At 49.0% G+C, this 19,152-nt stretch overlaps 1 protein-coding gene and 1 pseudogene across 42 annotated transcripts in view, besides 1 other annotated feature; one reads left to right on the forward strand and one right to left on the reverse strand.

The window, feature by feature from the left end:
- Positions 1–19,152, forward strand: part of GRAMD1B (GRAM domain containing 1B) — a 269,346-nt gene that overhangs the window by 231,708 nt on the left and 18,486 nt on the right. For 40 of the 42 annotated variants that reach the window (NM_001367421.2, NM_001367420.2, NM_001367419.2 and 37 more), the window contains 8 exons: positions 3,953–4,037; positions 4,606–4,709; positions 5,813–5,908; positions 10,339–10,419; positions 13,297–13,412; positions 15,193–15,349; positions 16,480–16,669; positions 18,530–18,673. In NM_001367421.2, coding sequence (NP_001354350.1) covers positions 3,953–4,037; positions 4,606–4,709; positions 5,813–5,908; positions 10,339–10,419; positions 13,297–13,412; positions 15,193–15,349; positions 16,480–16,669; positions 18,530–18,673 — 973 coding nt within the window. Of the gene's footprint in view, positions 1–689; positions 1,413–3,952; positions 4,038–4,605; positions 4,710–5,812; positions 5,909–10,338; positions 10,420–13,296; positions 13,413–15,192; positions 15,350–16,479; positions 16,670–18,529; positions 18,674–19,152 lie in introns of those variants that run through there. The other 2 variants (XM_011542933.2, XM_047427331.1) reach the window with 1 other exon arrangement.
- Positions 6,609–9,345, reverse strand: SF3A3P2 (splicing factor 3a, subunit 3 pseudogene 2; annotated as a pseudogene).
- Positions 13,372–13,871: an enhancer, noted in NCBI's record as "H3K4me1 hESC enhancer chr11:123474209-123474708 (GRCh37/hg19 assembly coordinates)". NCBI's record gives its function as "activates a minimal SCP1, AML or CMV promoter by ChIP-STARR-seq in primed H9 embryonic stem cells {active_cell/tissue: H9 hESC(primed)}" and the evidence as "EXISTENCE:reporter gene assay evidence [ECO:0000049][PMID:30033119]".

Consider the following 19,152-nt stretch of genomic DNA (forward strand, 5'->3'; position numbering starts at 1 on the left):
GGTCTTTTTGGGCTTGGTCCCCCTCTTGCTAATGCTGAAGGTTGTATAGGGTCCATGGGAAGGAAGAGGGTGCCTCAGACAGATCCCGAAGCTGTTGATCTCAGCGTCTCCACCACCAGCGTGTCTGAAACTGGATCAGCAAAATCCCCAGGCTGCTACTGCTGCTTTGGGGAAGTTGGCGGATGGATGGGTTGGTGAGGTGTGAGAGTGTCTCCAAGAAGTCCCTGGCAACTTGAGTCTCACATTTCAGATTTCATCCTAACAGCAGTGCCCTGCCACCTCCCCTCCCTACTCCACGCCTCCATGTGGAGCCCTGGCCAGCAACTTTCCATTGCAGGAAACATCTGCTGGGGAGGCCAGGCTCAGCTGGGGGTTACTGGAGGACATTGGCCGGGACCATCACCCAGATCCTGTAACTTGAAGCATGTGTAGGGCCCAGCTCTTCCCACCCACCTGCCCTGCCTCCCTTCTTCCCTCCCTCTCTGCCACGGGTGACTCTAACAAAGAAGCTGTTTGCTGGTCAGGCGAGCAGAGCAGGGGCTGAGGAAAGGGGTGTGTGTTGGGCTGGGGTTGAGAGCAGGCCCTGTTGCTGCAGCCAGTGGTGGCTGCTCTGCCTGGGTGAGGGCTGTGAGTCATAGTCCAGTGCCCGCCCAGGGTAGAGGTTGATTAAACGTGCCACTCTGTGGGACAGACCAGGACTGGGGAGCTGGGCATTCGGTTCCTTTGCTGGAGTTTCAGACCAACGATGAGTCACTCTGCTGCGTCTAAGTGACTGGCGGGGTTAGACCCTGGACCCGGCTGTGGATCATCCTTGTCCTGCAGAATCTGCTTGTCCACCCAGGGGCCTGCCTCCCGGACCTCCAGCTGGCCCTGGGCACCTGCCATGCCATCTGCATCCTCTGGACCCTTGGGGTGACTGTCTGCACTGACCAGGTGGAGGTGCGTGACCACACCACCTCTGGGCTACTCTCTGCCCGTGGACCAGCCGAGAAGAAAGCAGAGCCCGCCATGGGAGACTGGCTGGCCAGCTTGTCCTGAGAACCACGCTGACCACCTCGGCTCACTTGTGAAGCTTCATGCTGGGCATGCAGCTCTAGGAGCAGAAAGGACACCTGTCAGAGTCACACAGGCCCTCTGCTGAGAAACCAGAGGCCACCCATCCACAGTCAAGCCAGGGGAGACCAGTTGTTTTCATCGTGTGGGGACAGTCGGGAGTCAGTGCTCAGGGAGCCAGGCGTCGTTGGGAGGGGCAGCCGTGCTGGGCAATGGAATCACTGACGGAGTCGGGGGTCCTCTGGAGCCTTCTGCTGGAGCAGGAGAGCCAGCTGCTGCAGTGGTACCTGAAGCAGCTTGGCCATGCACCTGCTGCCGCTGAACACCGTTGCTGGCACGGATCTGAGGAAATCCCAGCCGTGAGTGTGTGACTCAGTTTCTCTGAGTCTCTGTGGTAGTTCTGCACCCTTGTTATGCCACTTGGCTCTCCTACCCGAAGGCCCCAGATTTGACAATCTTGGAACCGAAATTATTTGACCATTTTAAATTGAAATAGGTGAGCCAGGCCCCGCCTTTGGGGGTGGAGGAGGGAGAGGGCTGGGGTCCCTGGCTTCGAGAGGCTGCATGGTGGCAGGCCCAGCATGCCCAACTGATGAGCCTGCCATGCACACAACAGCCTTGTGGAATAGGCTTGTGTTGGGAAGCCTGGATAAAGGAGTTTCCAGACTGGCTGACTTAGCAGGCCAGGGCTGGATTCACTCTCCCCTCTCCCTGCCACTGCTACAGCTTTGTTTTAAGGAAAGTAGCGGCCCCCTCGATTTGCCTGCGGGTTGGAGATGGTGGCCAAACGCCCTGTACCTCCACCTCTGTGGATACCTGAGCTATTACTGGATATGTGAGAAGCAAGGGGGAGAAGGCACTAGGACAGGAAATTAGAAATAGGAAGACTTGGGGCTTCAGGGGGTTGGAGGCCTGACATCCGGTTTCACCTGAAGTGTGTTTGGGGTCTCCTGGTCGGCTGCTCCTCAGGCTGACACTGGAACTCTGTAAGTATGAAGACCTAGTAGAGGGCTTGGAAGGCTAGCAGGGGCCGCAAAGCAGGTAAATATCTCATTCTCAAGGGAGTGTGCTCTTTTGGGGAAGCCCTTCTGCTTCCTCTTGGCAGGAGGACCAGGAGCAGTTACCCTCCAGAGGCAGCACAGAGTAGGGGCTCAGACAGCACTGAGTCAGACTGCCTCACTCATATTCCACTCCAAGTTGCTTAACTTCTCTGTTTCTCAATTTCCTCAAGTGCAAAATGGGATAATAAAAATAATCTGGGGTCTGATGCAGTGCCACATGCACATGGCTTATGGCTGTGCTTGGTAGGTGATGATAACTCCATGTTAGCCACATAGCAGCTCTAGAAGGTCAGTTAGGCATAATGAGAACTCACTGGCGATCAGGTGGTCAAGCTGGGGTTTTCAGTGTGTGGACTCTGTTCTAAGAGGCTAGGGGGCCATCTTGATTCCATATCTCAGTGCCAGTTTGAAACTAATATAGGGGCCAGAGGAATGTTGTTTTCTAAGTTTTTTGTTGTTGTCGTTTTGTTTTGTTTTTGTAGCCATTGGCTACACCCTAGGCTGAGGGTCAGCAGTGCTGTCTCTGTGTAGGTAGTCAGTGCATCACAGGTGGAGTGTGGGTGTCTCCGTTTGGCCGTGCGTGGCTCGTCCCAGGTTTTGCACTTGATTTCATCTGTCACCCCCGGTGCTCCTCATTTGTGGGCACGTATTTTCTTTTTAGTTTCTTTTTTATTTTATTTTTTAAATTTAAGATTGTAAGCCCTCGGGTCGGGCGCGGTGGCTCACTCCTGTAATCCCAGCACTCTGGGAGGCCGAGGTGGGTGGATCACTTGAGGTCAGGAGTTTGAGACCAGCCTGGCCAATATGGCGAAACCCCATCTCTAGTAAAAATACAAAAATTAGCCGGGAGAGGTGGCACATACCTGTAGTCCCAGCTACTCGGGAGGCTGAGGCAGGAGAATCGCTTGAACCCGGGAGGTGGAGGTTGCAGTGAGCCGAGATCACACCACTGCACTCCAGCCTGGGTGACAGAGCGAGACTCTGTCTAAACAAACAAACAAACAAACAAACAAACAAACAAGATTGTAAGCCCTCAAAGGGCAGGATTTCTGTGTATTCAGCTGGCTCATGGGATTTCCAAGGAGGATTTGCTAAGGCAGTTTCTGGGTATCATGTTGCAGTGGGGGGAAGTGAGCACAGGACCAGGGGTCATGAGATCTGACACTGACCAGCTGAGGACCTGGGGCAGGGGGCTTCTCTCTGGCCTTGGTCTCTTCCTTGATGCTGTAAGGATTGGTTTAGATAATGTAAGGATGGAGAGGGGAGTTGGATGCCTCTCGTGTGCCCGTTGTGTTTTTTTAATTCTCTATCTCTGCGCTTATTGCAGTACTGGTTTTATGTGATTTCTTAGAAAATCATGTCTTTCCCACACAGCCAAGTGCTCACTCTGATAATCACGACAACACCTTCTTCTGAGAGGTGCTCTGGGCAACATCATGGGGGGCTGGGCAGCCTTCTTGGGTCCCTGCTTCACTGTCAAGGTGGTGCTGGCAGAAGGCAGAACAGCAGTAGCTGGCATGGTGGATACCAGGAAGCACCCTGGAGGTGTCCCTCCTTCCTTTCTCTTACGGGATATAACGAGAGCCCCTCCTTGCTGTGTCTGGCATTTCTCACTGGTGGAGGCCCTGGCTGCATAGTGTTTCCCAGCACCAGATTCTCCCCACTGTGTTTCTCCACACCGAGGCGCCGTTCCTCAGCCTGGCCTCCTAGGGTCTGTGGGAGGGCAGAGCCTCATCTTTGCTTTTTAAACACACAAGCAAGTGCTCCTCATCTTGCCCTTCCTTCCTAACCCCACAGAACCGGGGTACATCCTACTAACCTTGGCTATTGTCACGCAGGTGTTAAGCCCCACCTACAAGCAGAGAAATGAAGACTTCAGAAAGCTCTTTAAGCAGCTTCCAGACACGGAGCGCCTCATTGTTGGTGAGTTGGGTGACCTGGGAGGGGATGGGAAGGAAGTCTGGGGAGCCCCCGGCATAGCACTCAGGGTGCTTCTCTCTAGAGGCCTCAAGCCAACCCAGGTAAGCAAGGGAACAGGGAGAGAGGCTGTCCAGACCCCTGGCCCCAGCTGTCAGGGCTCGAGGCTGAGTATCAGGCTTGTGGCAGCCTCAAGAGCCCAACCTGGAGTGAGTCACTGGCATTTTTATCTCTGCAGTTGGCCCAGTGGCAGAAGGGGTTAGCATAGTTGTGGACTGGGGAGGGAAGTTAGTTGAATTTTGTTGGTCTTTTCCACCTCTTGCTTCCTTGGCCCACTTTGCCTTCACATTTATTTATCTGCCTCTAGGCAGTTGCACATCACACCACCTTTATGCTCCTCATCATGAGATGGTAGGGACTTCCTTGGCTGCTAGTTCAAGTGTCTGGCACCCCTTGTCCGTGGTGGGCATTGGGCTCCCCCAGTGCTGGTGGGAGGGATGACATGCCTACTCTGCAGTGGTTTGCCGAAAATGCTTCCTGCCTCTGAGCTCCCCTACCTCCGCTCCTACCACAGATTACTCATGTGCACTCCAAAGAGACATTCTCCTTCAGGGCCGACTCTACCTCTCTGAAAATTGGATCTGCTTCTACAGCAACATCTTCCGCTGGGAAACTCTGGTAAAGACCTGGGCATGCTCCCTTGGGCTGTCTCCTTGGCTATGGCTGAGCAAGCTGCCCTCGCTTTCTTCCTTTTGCTGACTTCATGCTCTTCCCAAGCCTTTGCGTAATTAACAAAAGCATGCCTGAGTCTTGAAAGATATTCAATTCTAAGTCCCAATAATCAGGTCTCCTCTGCCATGTCTTCCCCTCCCTCCCTCCCCTTTGGGTGTGGAAGAGAGGACTGGGAACATTTGCTTTTGTCAAATGCAGGCAAATATTTGGCATGAGTGACTGCAGGAGGAGGCATAGTCAAGTAGAAAGGGCTTTGGCCTTGGGACTTTAAAGAACCGGCTTGCACAATTTCTGGGTTCTGTAACTAATCAGCGGTGTGATTTTAGGCTAGTCCTTTCTTTGCCTCTATTTCCTCATCTCGTATACTAAGGAAGAGAAAGATTAACTAGATGATTTTTTTTTTTTTTAAACAGAGTTTCACTCTTGTTGCCCAGGCTGGAGTACAATGGCAGAATCTTGGCTCCCTGCAACCTCCGCCCCTGCCCCCAGCCCCTGGGTTCAAGCGATTCTCCTGCCTCAGCCTCCCGAGTAGCTGGGATTACAGGCATGCGCCACCACGCCCGCTAATTTTGTATTTTTTAAGTAGAGACGGGGTTTCTCCATGTTGGTCAGGCTGGTCTTGAACTGCCGACCTCAGGTGATCCGCCCGCCTCCGCCTCCCAAAGTGCTGTGATTACAGATGTGAGCCCTGTGCCCAGCCTAACTAGATGATTTATATGGCCACATCCTGCACCAATATTCTGTGTTTCTGTAAGTGGCAAATAATGGCAGGACCTCTGCACATTTAGCAGACTGTATAGAAATTAGAAAGCTCTTTGCCCAAGAATCAAGATACTCATGGCTGTAGACAAGGCTCAGTCCCCACTTTGCTGTCTGCCCACTGTGAAATAAAGGGGTAAACCAGATGATCACCAATGCGGCCTCTTCCAGGGTTATAAATATGTGATCTGATTGCCTCTGTCTACACTGGCGCCCCCTGAACACTGTTTACCTGACTTACTAATGCCCCACTTTGCTTGTTGCCCATTCTCTGTCCTCTTGGATGCCAGCTGACAGTCCGTTTGAAAGACATCTGTTCCATGACTAAAGAAAAAACAGCTCGCCTCATTCCCAATGCCATCCAAGTTTGCACTGATTCAGAAAAGGTAAGTGGAGTCTAACTCTGGCCTTTCTAATCCTCCCTTACTCCTCCTACTCTTGTATTTCTGCCCTTTCTTGAATCGCATGAATGTGGAAGCCAATAGGATTGGGATGAGAGGCGCTAAGGGCGATGCAGATTCCAGGAAGCACCTCCTGGGTGGACAGGCTGGGGGAGGCTGAGCAGCGGGAGGATAGAGTGGCCAAACATTGGACCTGGAGCCAGAATACCTGAATTTGAGTCCATCGACAGTAAGCGTGTTGGGTAATATCTCTAAGCCTAAGTTTTTCACCTGCAAAATGGAGCCAGCAATACCTATTTAACACAGTCTTGAAATAATATCACATATATGAAAACATATATGAAAATTGTAAAGCAGTATACAAATGTTAAGAAGTCGTCATTATGTATCAGCTTAGCTGATTATCTCTCAAGAGGATGGGGAGTCTGATAGAAAATGGATTGTCCTTATCAGTATGGGGAGAATACGTTGGATAAAATTCAGGACAGAACAAACTTTTCACTAGAGCCTGAAGATGAAGAGGTTCAAGGCTAGGGGTAGACTGGGTTTCTGCTGAAGGCCAAGTTTACAGTTCCCTTGGACTCAGGCAGTTCAGTGGCAAGAGCCAGGAGGCTTTGGGGTCAGATAGTGTTTGGTTTGACCTATATTTGTTGTTGTTGTTGTTTTTTGCTTTTGTTTTTGTTTTAAGTAGATTATTAAAAAACAATTGAAGGCCTGAGTGTTGAGAGGCAAATGGGGCCTCTGGGGGATCCTGTCCTGCAGCAGGCCTGACTTTCAGATGACTGTGCTTATAAGGCAGATCAGTGCCTTCCTGGGCTGCCCTAGTTCTTTCCATTTCAGACACTAGATTTGGATCCTGGGGCAGCTGCTCAACTCTACCCAACTCTACCATGGCTACCTGGGCTTGGAGAACATGTGAATATTAGCTACTTTTACAGTCATAGGGATCTTGTAGAAGAAACAGGTAGACAGACCCATCAAAGTCTCTCATTCTGACCTAGCAAGCAGGTGAAGTGACTGCTGGTCCTAGTTCCATTGTATGTTGGGCTGCAGGCCAATTCCAAAGAGTCCAACTCCTTTTTTTTTTTTTTTTTGAGATGGGGCCTCACTATATCTCCTAGGCTGGTCTCAAACTCCTAGGCTCAAAGGATCCTCTAGCCTCAGCCTCCTTAGTAGCTGGGACTACAGTGCATGCCACTATGCCTTTTTTTTTTTTTTTTTTTTTTTTTTTTTTAAGAGACAGGCTCTCACTATGTTACCTAGGCTGGTTCTCAAGCAACCCTCCTGCCTCAGCCTCCCAAGTAGCTGGGACTATAGGCACAAGCCACTGCACCCAGCTCCAACTCCTTTCTTTATGGAACTATAAAGGCAAACCTTGGTGCCACACTTAGTCCTTAGTAGCAGCCCTGGCTCATCCTCCTAGTCTTTCCCTAGTATTTGCATCAATGGCTAACTAAGCTGATGGCAGACCTCATCCTGGGGTAATACTCATTCAGGGAAGTAGCAACAAAGGAGGGTGGGGAAAGAGCTCAGGTCAGATTTACCTGCCATGATGTGTAGCATAACAGGTGCCCATTAAATCTCAGCTACTTCTGAAGTTGGTGAGAAAGAGGTATGGAGGCATTAAGACCAGACGCACTGAGTTAGTCCATAACCCTGGGCTTCAGAACAAGGTCTGGTTTTATTTTCTTGCAGAATCTTTTTAAATATAAAACATAAAACACATCTCAAACCTGCATTCTGCCAGCCTGCCTTGTTTCTACAAGTTGCATGCTAGACCATGAAACTAAGTAGCAAAAGGTCTTTAAGAGGATTTGGTTGGGAGAAATAGAACAAGCAGATCTCAGGGAAGCCTGGGCTAGCCCCAAAGCTGAGCTACATCCCTGAACACTAGAGCAGTCCTTGTTTTTTCAGATCCTCATATGTCTTCTTATTCACAGCATTCCCACTTGAGTCTTCATATTCTTCCTCAGTGTCAGGCTGCCATCATTCTGAAGCCTTCTGCAATTTCAGTTTGGCCCACAAGGAGACAGCATCTTTAATCTGTGTCACATTAGCAAAGTGAGCAGTGTTTGGGATGCCCAAACACCTCATGCCATGCCATGAGCATGATGCCATTCAGCAAAGTGCCGCTGGAAGGCTTTGGGTCCTCGGTAGGTGTAGTTTCCACAGATCTCACAGTTGTAGTTGATATTTAGGCCATGAAGCATATACAGCCAGTAGGGAATGGGTTTGCCAAGTGGCCAAGTGGCAGGTTTTTGGGGTTGTAAATGATCTCGTTCTCTTCATCTTCACTCTAACTCTCACTGATTTGCTCTTTTTCGTCTTCCTCTCGCTCTTCTCCTGTCCTTGCTTGCTCGCGTTGTACATTTTCATGAGTGAGATGTCGCTGTTCTCCGAGAATCTCTACGTATTCATAGATTTGGGCTTCTAGAAAAGCAATGTCTTTGTTCCTCTCAGTGTCTTACTTGGTGCCCTTTGACTTGGGATTTTTGGCAAACAAAGAGGTATCAAGTGACTCTAGGGACTTTCCTTTGGTGCTGAATAGTCTCTGGGCTCGCTCTTCTGGGATCCTGCCACATTTCAGTCCTAAAGCTAAGAGAGCGGATTTCAATCTGTCCAAACCCAGAGAGGCCAACTCCTCCCAGGAGGAGAATGCAGAGAGGTCAAGATGGGCTCCAGCCTGCGTCAGAGCACTGCTTGTCTCTTTCGGCCATCCAGGAAAGATCCCATTCTCCCATTTCTTCTCAAATTCAGCCTGAATCTTCCCAGAAAGTTCATTCTGATCTTGGAGAGGCTTCACTCTATCTGTGTAATCCTGAAGGTACTCAAGCAGCATCTCTAGGTATCTCTTATGCTCTGCATTCCTCCTGTCTTTAGGAATGTCAAATAATTGGTCTAAGATGGACAGGTATGTGATATAATCCAGCTTCTCAGATGCCTTCAGGTTAATGTACTTGAGGCAACAGTCATGGAGATCGAGGTAACGACCATATCCCTCTTCATCTGTGAACTCCACCGAGTTTTGTGCCTCTTCACTTGGATTCTCTCGAGCCTTCAGGAGCTCCTCAAATTCCACTGACATTGCCACATAGATCTCATTTGGGTGCTTCCGGTGGAATTCCTTTATTTGCTTGAGTCTGTTACAGAAATCAGAAAATTCCTTGGGTCCTGAAATGGCACCGAGCTCCTCCTTTCGTAATCCATCCTTATCATCATACAAATCCCTTGGGTTCCCACTGACCTCCATATACCTATCTTGCGTGGCCCGAGTGCAGTGATCAGAATTGATCTGGTCCCAGAGCATGGACTTTTTAGTGAGCATCTCTTTGGCCATGACATCCATGAGCCATTCCTTCTCCTCATGATAGCACTGCTGCTGCTCCAGTATTGTCTCCATCTTCCCTTCACCACGGCCTCTCGTTGTTGCTGTTTTTTGAGGCGCAGTCTCACTCTGTCACCCAGGCTGGAGTGCAGTAGCACTATCTTGGCTCACTACAACCTCTGCCTTCTGGGTTCAGGTGATTCTTGTGCCTCAGCCTCCGGAATAGCTGAGATTACAGGCACTCACCACCACGCCTGGCTAATTTTTGTATTTTTAGTAGAGGCAGGGTTTCGCCATGTTGGCCAGGCTGATCTCGAACTCCTGACCTCAGGTGATCCACCCACCTCGGCCTCCCAAAGTGTTGGGATTACAGGCGTAAGCCATGGCGCTCTGCCTGGTTTGACCTATATTTTGGACACTAACCAGCTTCTTGATTATACAAGTTGCCTAACCTCAACAGCCTGTTACCCTTTATTAGTTGTCAGCTTTGTTTATTATCTAAGGCTTTTTGTGTGGTTTAAGTGAAATAGCATTTGTGGACCACCTTGTGGTTGATCAGTAAAATCTTCATTACTTTCTTTCTGTCTGTTTAATGGGTAAACTCCACAAGAGCAGGATCTCTTTCTGTGTTGTTTCTTGTCCCTCACACATGTAGATTAGTGCCTAATACATACTAATACTCAAATATTTGTTGAATGAATGAAATAGGTCGGCAGATTAGTAGATTGTGGGTTTGTCTTGTCCTTCCATTTAGGCTAGTTCATAGCTCACCCCTTACCCAGTTCCAGTAGGTGGGTGAGGGACATTTCTTATGGAGATGAGAATTTCAAAACAGGGAGAAAAGCACTGAGGAAAGTGTGGGTAAGAGTGGAAGGACTTTGTCACACTGGGAACTTAACAGTATCAGGTACCCAGGCCTCTGGTGTGCTGACCCCATCACTAAAGCGGATGTACGTGATCACAGGTAACTGAGAGTCATTAGTGTTTGAGGATGAAGTCAGTATCTTTTCTTAAAGGATGGAGGACCATGTCCCTCTTAATTATATTGTAACTCAACAGATATTTATTGTTATTTTCTTTTCCAATCTAGCACTTCTTCACTTCGTTTGGGGCCCGGGATAGGACATATATGATGATGTTCCGGCTCTGGCAGAATGCTCTCCTTGAAAAGGTAAGTACGGCCGAGTTTGCTTTTACTGTGGGACTGGCTATCTCTAGAGAAGCCTTTGTCTCCTCAGGGTTCTGGGAATCCCCCACTGATAGTATTCTCCCACTGATGGTATTGGCCTGAGTCCTGAAAGTAGCATATAATCTCCCACGAATGGCCTCAACACCCCCAGGAGTAAGGCACTCATTGTCTTCAGGGGCTTCAGTTCCACTGCTTTGAAATGTCTCAGGATTTTCTCTAATCAGTTATGGTAATGCATGCAGCCCTGAAGAAAGAAGTCCTTAAATTCACAGACCCCCAGAAATAGGAAGCACAGCAGGATGAGGGCCACCAGGGAAGCACCAGGGTCAGTCAGGAGATGGAAAGGGAAAGGGGAAGAAGTGGGCAGAGCCTTTATTGTAGTTTTTGCAGGAAGGAGTAGGGGAGGCAGGGCAAGCAGGCCGAGCAGGTCTAGGATTGGCTAGTTTGAATAATTTTGGCAGGCTGCAGGTGTAGGGACTGTCTTAAGTTGCCTGGAAGCTTGGAAGCTATAATAGAGAATGGGGAGGGTGGGAATATGAGCCTTGGATGGGCTGGCTACTATGAAAGGCCCACTCCTGGATGAGTTATTTCCTCTCTCTAGGAATTAGCTAACCCTGATGGGTCCCTCCCCAGTCAGCAAGGCCCCAGATGCCACAACTTAAAGTACAGAAAATGTAGTTAACACAGCCACCACGAATTGACTAGTTGAGTGTTTAAATGAAACTATGAAGAGACACAGATGAAGCCACCCCTTCATGCAGTGAGCTGTGATTGCGCCACTGCATTCCAGCCTGGATGACAGAGCAAGACCCTGTTTCAATTAAAAAAAAAAAAAGTTCCCACTCAGATGCAGTTGGATGTTGAGAAACTGTCTCCAAGCCAGAGAAAGAGATGTAGGAGAAAACGCACCGACACACACACATAATGTTTCCCCCAGGATTAATTTTTATGTGTGTGTGTGTGTGTGTGTGTGTGTGTGTATGATTGACATGGGTGTATTTAAATATATACATATATTGGCCTTGACTCTAGCCCAAACAAATGGCTGCATAAGAAAATTGAGTGGATTTATTATTTAGAGTTTCTTCTCTTCTGAGAGTCTGTACCCCTAGTATCACTCCTGATAACTTATTTGAGCTGTGGTCCTCTGCCTTCACTTGCCATCAGTAATAGTAAAATGATTATGTGTTTTAGTCTCTACTGGCAGGTTTGAGTTTTCAGTTCACAGCTGCTGTCATTTTTAAGTAAGACACAGGGTCATTCATATGCTTCGCAAATGCCCTCACAAATAATTGTAAGAATTGGGCCTGCCGAGGAGAGTCTGCTAACTGTGCTTGTCCTGATCGTGGTTGGCCAAGCCAAGCCAGGTGGCGCTGGTCAGAGAAGTCTGCAGAGAGCAAGCAAAGGGTGGAGCAGGGCAGTATATGGTTTGGCAGAGAGGCAGATGTGTCCCAGGCAGGGTGAATGTTGTCCCAGGCAGGGTGGATGTTGCACATAAAGGCCAGAGATAGGAGGGGGAGGTCCAGGAGAGAAGGAGGTGATACCTCCCTCAGGCACTATGAGGTCCAGCATAGAGAGCTGCGGCCCCCAACTCTGCCAGCCTAGAGTCAGGGCCCCAAATCTGCCATTCCAGGCACTTCTCCTTAGTCAGAAAGCTGGAATCCTAGCTCATTGTACTCTGCCAGCTGCCTGCTTCTTAAACCATACCTGAAACTGTGGGCTTGGGAGCTCTCAAATTATTATTATTATTATTATTGTTATTTTTACTCCCAATGGAATATTGTTCAATTTTTATTTTTTATATTTTTAAATTTTTTTATTATACTTTAAGTTTTAGGGTACATGTGCACAACGTGCAGGTTAGTTCTATGTGTATACATGTGCCATGTTGGTGTGCTGCACCCAAATTCTTTAGGAAGTCTATCGGTGCAAACATTTTTGAAATGGGATTTTTTTTTTTAAAGATAATGATTGCTTCTGTTTTTCTTCATGCCCTTGCCCTCCTTTCCACACACTTATCCCTGCCACCTTCTCCCCTTCCTCCCAGTCTGAGACTCATTCATGGTCTCTGCCTCTGATCTTAGTTCTTTGACATCCCTTTGCCTCTCTCTGGAGACTCTGAACCCAATGAGAACAAACTTTTCTTAGAACAGTGTTTTTTTGGGAGGACACATAGGCACCCGGTGAAATAAGAAAACACTGGAACTAATGCATAGAACTGCAGGCAAACAGATTCCACCTCAGGTTGGGTAGTCACACGCTTAGGTGAGATGACCTGTAAGGTTCCTAAAACTGTGGGAACGTAAGACTCTACCCATAGGAACTGTCCAGCTATGGAATGGGCCACCTTTGAGGTCGAACCTCATTCTTGGAAGTGATCCAGTAGGGTCTGTAAGGCCACAGTTAATACAAGAGGAGATTTCTGTGCAGTGTGGTGGGGCACCGGGTCAGGGGACCTCTGGGCATTCATTCAGAGTGCTAATCAGAAGCTCTGGGATCCCCTTGGCCCCAGAGTCACATGGGTTTATGCCACTCAGTGCTGGACCTTTTCCATAAGAGCAAAAGGTGAGACAGTTACCATCCTCTGGGAGCCAGTTGGTCACGTTCTACAAACCTCTGTTGAGGGATTGGGCACTGAAAGGCCAGTTCCTGGCTTTGTTAAAGTCCACATTCCTAGGCAGAAGACTGGTGTCCTGCTGAGACCCCCAAGGCAGATGGGGGTGGTGGCTCGCCTCTCATTCAGCTAAGGAGAGAGGAGTTTCTCCTCTTCTCCAGGGGAACCAGCCCGGCTCAGTGCCTCTGTGCAGAGTCGGGGGACCTGAGGGAGCAAGGCTCAGTCGTTCCTTTTCTCCCCTGAAGCCTCTGTGTCCCAAGGAGCTCTGGCACTTTGTTCACCAGTGCTATGGGAACGAATTGGGCCTGACCAGTGATGACGAGGACTACGTGCCCCCTGACGACGACTTCAACACAATGGGGTGAGTGAGGCCAAGGGCGGCTGCCCAGAGGCAGCCGTGCGAGTGCCTGCAGGAAGAACCTGCCAGGCAGAGGGAACAGCACACATGCCTGTGCAGCCATGGAATGAACTGTGGAATGAAGGAGGGAAAGTGGTCACAGGTGAGGTCAGGGAGCTCGAGGGGGCAGAGCCTAAGGGCCTGGCCATCTTTATGGTTGGCTTTTACTGAGAGTGGGATGGGAAAGTTTGGCAAAGATAATTGCTAAGGTCTGATTTAACATTTCAGCAGGATCACTCTGGTCTTTGCACTGAAAATACATTAAAGGGGAACCAGGGCAGAGGCAGGGAAACCCGTGAAGAGGCTGGTGAGTAATTTAGATAGTTAGATGAGGGATGGTGGTTGTTTGGAGAAGTGGCAATAAGTGTTTAGTTCCTGAATAGATTTTGAAGGATATGTTGATGGAACAGAAAGGAACCAAAGGTGGCTTTCAGATTTTTTCGGTTTTACTGCCCAGAAGGATGGCATTGTTCCAAACGGAGATGGACAGTACTGTAGGCAAAGCAGGTTTCAGGGGAAAGATCAGGAGGGTAGTTTTAGGCAAGTTGAAATTGAGATGCCTGTTAGCTAAATGGAGATGCCAAGTGGGCATTTAGATATGGAGTGTGGAGTGCACAGGGAAGCCTGGGCTGAGGCCATAAACGCAGCAATTATTAGTGGATAGTCATGAGACTAGCTGAAATTTCAAGTGACTCGGTGAACCTAAAAAGGAGTTCAAGGACTGCCTGGGAGCACTCAGTGAGGGAAAGAAGCAGCTGAAGAGAGCTTGAAAGCACATGCAGTGAGGGAGGAAGGCCCTAGGAAGGTTTCCTATCCTGGCAGCCACGGGAAGGAAGTGAAGCAGAAGGTATTGTCACTGTATCACATGCTGTCGATAGGTTAAGCAAGATGGGAAGATGTGCCTGTAGACTGGCACAAAGCATGCTTGAGGGTGGAAGGGTAGCTAGCTGCAAGCTTGGTGGTCGTGCAAGAGGCATACAGGGAAAAAAGCAAGAAAAGAACATTGAATGTCTGTTGTGCTTAGGTCTGGGCTCAGTCGAAATAATAGTGTTGTCGCTTAACCTCTATGAATACCCATTTGGTTATCTCCAAAATGCACATAAGGATTTCCGGAGAGTTGTCAAGCATCTGGATTTGTTAAGTACAGGTCAGATGATGGTGATGATGATAGGCTGATGATTGCTCCCTTAGAGGAGGCTACAGCGGCATCCCTGAAGTGTTCCTCGACGAGCACCCACCTTCATCTCAAGGAGGTTTTCTTTCTAGGTGTATAATGCAGGGAAGTTTTCTAGTTATCATCAAGAATTTGGGCAATGCCACTTAAGGAGCGCTCATGTCCAGAGTCCTGTCTTCGTCACCGTTTGGGAAAGGAAATGCATGCTCAGAACCCAGATATTTGATTCAGAGGCTTCAAATAGGATGGGCACCCATGGAAAAAAAATAGCTTAAGACAAATAATCCTTTCAGTTAGGTAGGGATAACTCTAAGGAGGCTGCCTAGGAAAGGTGAGTTTGCAGCCAGGAATTTTACATGGGGGGCAGGGAGGGGTGGGGTGGGATATGAAGGAGATTTCAGAAGAGCAATGGGGTAGGCAGGGGATTTTTGGTTAGAGGAAGATCATACACAAAGCAAAGAAGCAGGAAATCTCATAGATATGGATGGATAGAAAGGTCTGAGATTCTTAGAATAGTTGGCCATCTTGAACCACTGAGGGTAATGTGGACTCACTGGTGTCTCCTCTCAGATACTGTGAAGAGATCCCTGTGGAAGAGAATGAAGTGAATGACAGCTCATCCAAGAGCAGCATAGAGACCAAGCCAGATGCCAGTCCACAGCTGCCCAAGAAATCCATCACCAACAGCACACTAACATCCACAGGGAGCAGTGAGGCCCCCGTCTCGGTATGGGCAGTCAGCCTTTGACTTCTACCCCCAGTCCTGTGGCCAGCGTTTCCTAGCATAGTTCACTGGGAACCCAATCTGGGGAGCAGGTAGAGAGGAGATTGGTTACATTGTTGTCAGTTTCTTCAAGGAGGCATTCTGGAGCAGATGGGCTCTCCGTATTCTAGTGGCATAGCCCGGGGTCCAGAGCTGGGGCTAGGTGCCTGGGGTACAAGACTGGGTTTGACTTCTGAGCAGATGAAAACCATTTCAAGCCCACTGTGCTGGGCTGCTGCTGATCAGCCCTTCTGGTAGAGAACAATTCCAGGTATTTTTTCACTGCCTTGATCTGACGTCAAAGTCATGCATGAATATAGAACTATAGAACAATTAATTGTTTATCCACTCATTTGGTTGATATTTGTTGAGTATACGTATTGTGGCTTATTTCTCCACTGTGGTAGACTTTATGGAAGCCATAAAAATGTGTAAGAGAACCTCTGTCCTGTGGGACTCTGTTAATAGAGGAGGTAGAACCTTGATGAGGAAAGAGGGTCAGGGCATGTGCTGGCAGGCAGAAGAACAGGTAGGGTTCTTCAGGAAAGGACTCCCTCAAAGAGCCTTGTATTTCAGTAGGCTATGGATCAGACCACCTGCCTTCAGAATGAAAACATTATTCATTGGATACCTGGTCTTTATTTTCCATCTCTGAGGTTATCTTTAAAATGTAAAGAGTTGTATCGATTCCCTTCCAGGGCTAATGAGAGAATGAGTTTTAAAAAATGCTTATGAAGCCTTTCGAGCTTCTTAGGATAAACAGGTACTACCTGGAGGCAGGCTGACCTTGTTGCAGGATGGTGCAGGTGCGGCTCCAGGAAAGGGCCTGGGCCTGTGGGGACCAGCTCTGTGCATTTGGGGAGCTTGTTGTGCTGTTGGAATGGCGAGCGTGAGAAGTGCAGTAGTCCTTGTACTGTGTTTGCCCATCCTCTGTGGCAGCTCTGGGGAAGGGCTTTGGAGCCTGACTCTGACTTCGCTCCTGAGCAGCTGAGCTGGGAGTATGAGAGCTGCCAAGGCTGCATCCCTAATCTCCCTTTGGAGAATAGATCCAGACCAGGTTTCCCTGGTGGGTGACTCCTCTGTCTTGGCTCCAGTTTGATGGGCTGCCCCTGGAGGAAGAGGCGCTGGAGGGAGACGGGTCCCTGGAAAAGGAGCTCGCCATTGACAACATCATGGGGGAGAAGATTGAGATGATCGCTCCTGTGAACTCCCCTTCACTGGACTTCAATGACAATGAGGACATCCCCACTGAGCTCAGTGACTCTTCCGACACACACGATGAAGGTGGGCATTTGAAAATGGGTCTGGAGTGGCCCTTGCTCTGTTTTGAAGGCTAAAAGGAGATCTCTATGTGGGGACTGTAGTTAGTCTCTAGGTTCCTGGTGGAGAGATGGGAGCAGAGCTTCCTTAACAAAAGGTACCTGTTATTAGTTTACATCCCTGTTTTCAGTCATTTGCTGTAGGAGCCTCCCATAGATAATGCTTTGTTCTGTCATTTAGTCTTGTCACTAAATGTTCCCCCTATTGACATTGGCTTGCCTTGCGACCCTGACCCTCACAGACACGCAAGTCTAGGCAATGTTTATAAGCCACAAGGAAGGTGCCAGTCAGCTGCTCCCTGGAAATAATTAGATTTTAACAGAAACGTCCTCAAGATAGCTGCGAAACTTGTTAATGCAATTTTTGCTGCATGGGGTATTTAGGCCCAGCTAGAAGAAAAGGTGTTGCTGGGTCAAATAGGGTTTGGAGACTCCCTTGTTTCTCTAATTTTTGTAAGCAGGTAGCTTCTAACTTCATGCCTGCATAGGATTAGCTTCTAGAACCTCCCTTGGGAACATGCTGCTGCTTACCTTCCATGGAGAGAAGCCAAATTCTCAGCATTCATGAAATCAATTGATGGATTTCCTCCATTGAGTGAGTGGTCTGTTATGACTGGTGAGCATATGAGCACGGTGCTCACTTGTGGATCTGTGGACACCTCTCCCAGGGGCCACCTGCAGTGGTTTTCTAACTTTTGGTTGGTTTACCCACCCCCATCTAGAGTCCAGGGTTGGCACAAGTGACTGCATGGGTTAGATACTGCCTAACTCCAGGGTGCCTTTCACATAAACTAAGGTGTGAATACCCGCTGCGCTGCACTTGTGCAGTACCCATCTGTGCAGTCATAGGACTTGACCCCTACAGGGTACTTCAGAGTTCTCTGGTTTCCTCAGGGTCCTAGGGGTGCCAGAAATGGCAGCCTCCTCCTGAGATCACATACCCACCCATGCAGGTGCAGTAATTAGGGACTGAGGGGTGCCAAGGGTTCGGGGGGGAGCACTGAGGCTTTAGCAGCTCTCCTGTATCCTCATTTGCATCCTCCTGTAGCAGCTGGAAAATTCAGATTACAGGTGAAATTCCCTGGCTGGCAATCTTCTGTATATGGACACAGTGATGTGCCAGAAGGGCTTTGCATCCCTGAGACTGAAGGAAGCTCCATTTTTGGAGCCCTCCCACACCTTGCTCTGTGTGCCTCTCATTCTGATTTGAATTCTTATTTTGCTATATGATGAAGCTGTAATCCTAAGTTTAAAAAGGGGAGTAGGTATTGACATCATGGTAGAAATAGGCTGTCTTATGGAACTGTAGTTAGGGATCACAGCCTATTGGACCAGCCCCAGCCTTAGCAGCAGTTCTGTACACTGATTCTTCCAGATTAGTCTACGTTCCCTCGAACAGACCTATGCCATGGGTTACAACTACAATTTGTTGTCGATTAGAGTTAACTTACAGACTCTCAAAACCCCATTCTTTGGGTTTAGGCAACTTCCAGAAGTAGTCATTTATTTGAATTTTAGTCTAAGATCAACTGAATTAGGGAGGTTTGAAAGTGTAAAAGCAAATCGTACATTCCCAAACACTTTGTAAAGAAGGAATGGGTAGTGTCAGCTAAAGGAAATGGTGTGCATCCCAGCAAAAGAAAGAGACCGAAAGCAAAGTCATAAACCATGCCCACGAGCTCAGCTGTCCTGCTCCGTGTCCTCTCCATACCCTTGTTGACTGTGCTCATATTAGCCAGAGACCTAAGTGCTCTTGGAGGATGTCCCTGGGGCCCCCTCCCCCTCCGCTGTCACTGTCTACTTCCTGATCCTCTCTTCTGTGCAGGAGAGGTCCAGGCCTTCTATGAGGACCTGAGTGGCCGGCAGTACGTGAATGAAGTCTTCAACTTCAGCGTGGACAAGCTCTATGACCTCCTCTTCACCAACTCGCCCTTCCAGCGGGATTTCATGGAGCAGCGGCGCTTCTCTGGTCCGTTCTGCTGGGACTGTACCCCCCATTCCTCCCTCTTCATCCTCACTTCTTCCCTCTCTACATTTGCTTCCTTCCCTTCCTTATTCTTCTTTCCACACACCCTCCTTCCCTCGGCCACCTCAGGGCCCAGACACCCTCTCTCCAGCCTTCTGTGGTTCGGGAGCTCCTTCAGGCCCTGTTGCCCTCCCTTTTCACCAGCCCTGCAGCTTCACCCTTTCCCACTACACACCAGGCACTCGATGCCGGCCCCTAAGACCTACCCTGTCCCTCCCCTCACAGGGCTCACCATCTAGTAAAGCACAGTGGCTCTCACTCGCTGGCAGCACCCACTCTATGCCATGCACGTGACGTTATCTCATTCAGACCTCACAGCTACCCTGTGTGTGGACACCGATGAGGCTGCTGGAACTCAAACTGTTAGTGCTTGCCTGACCTCATGCAGCTAAGAAGGAGCTAGGCCGGGCCTCACATCTAGG

The sequence above is a fragment of the Homo sapiens genome, chromosome 11 (assembly GCF_000001405.40).
Source record: "Homo sapiens chromosome 11, GRCh38.p14 Primary Assembly".
Lineage (NCBI taxonomy): Eukaryota > Metazoa > Chordata > Mammalia > Primates > Hominidae > Homo > Homo sapiens.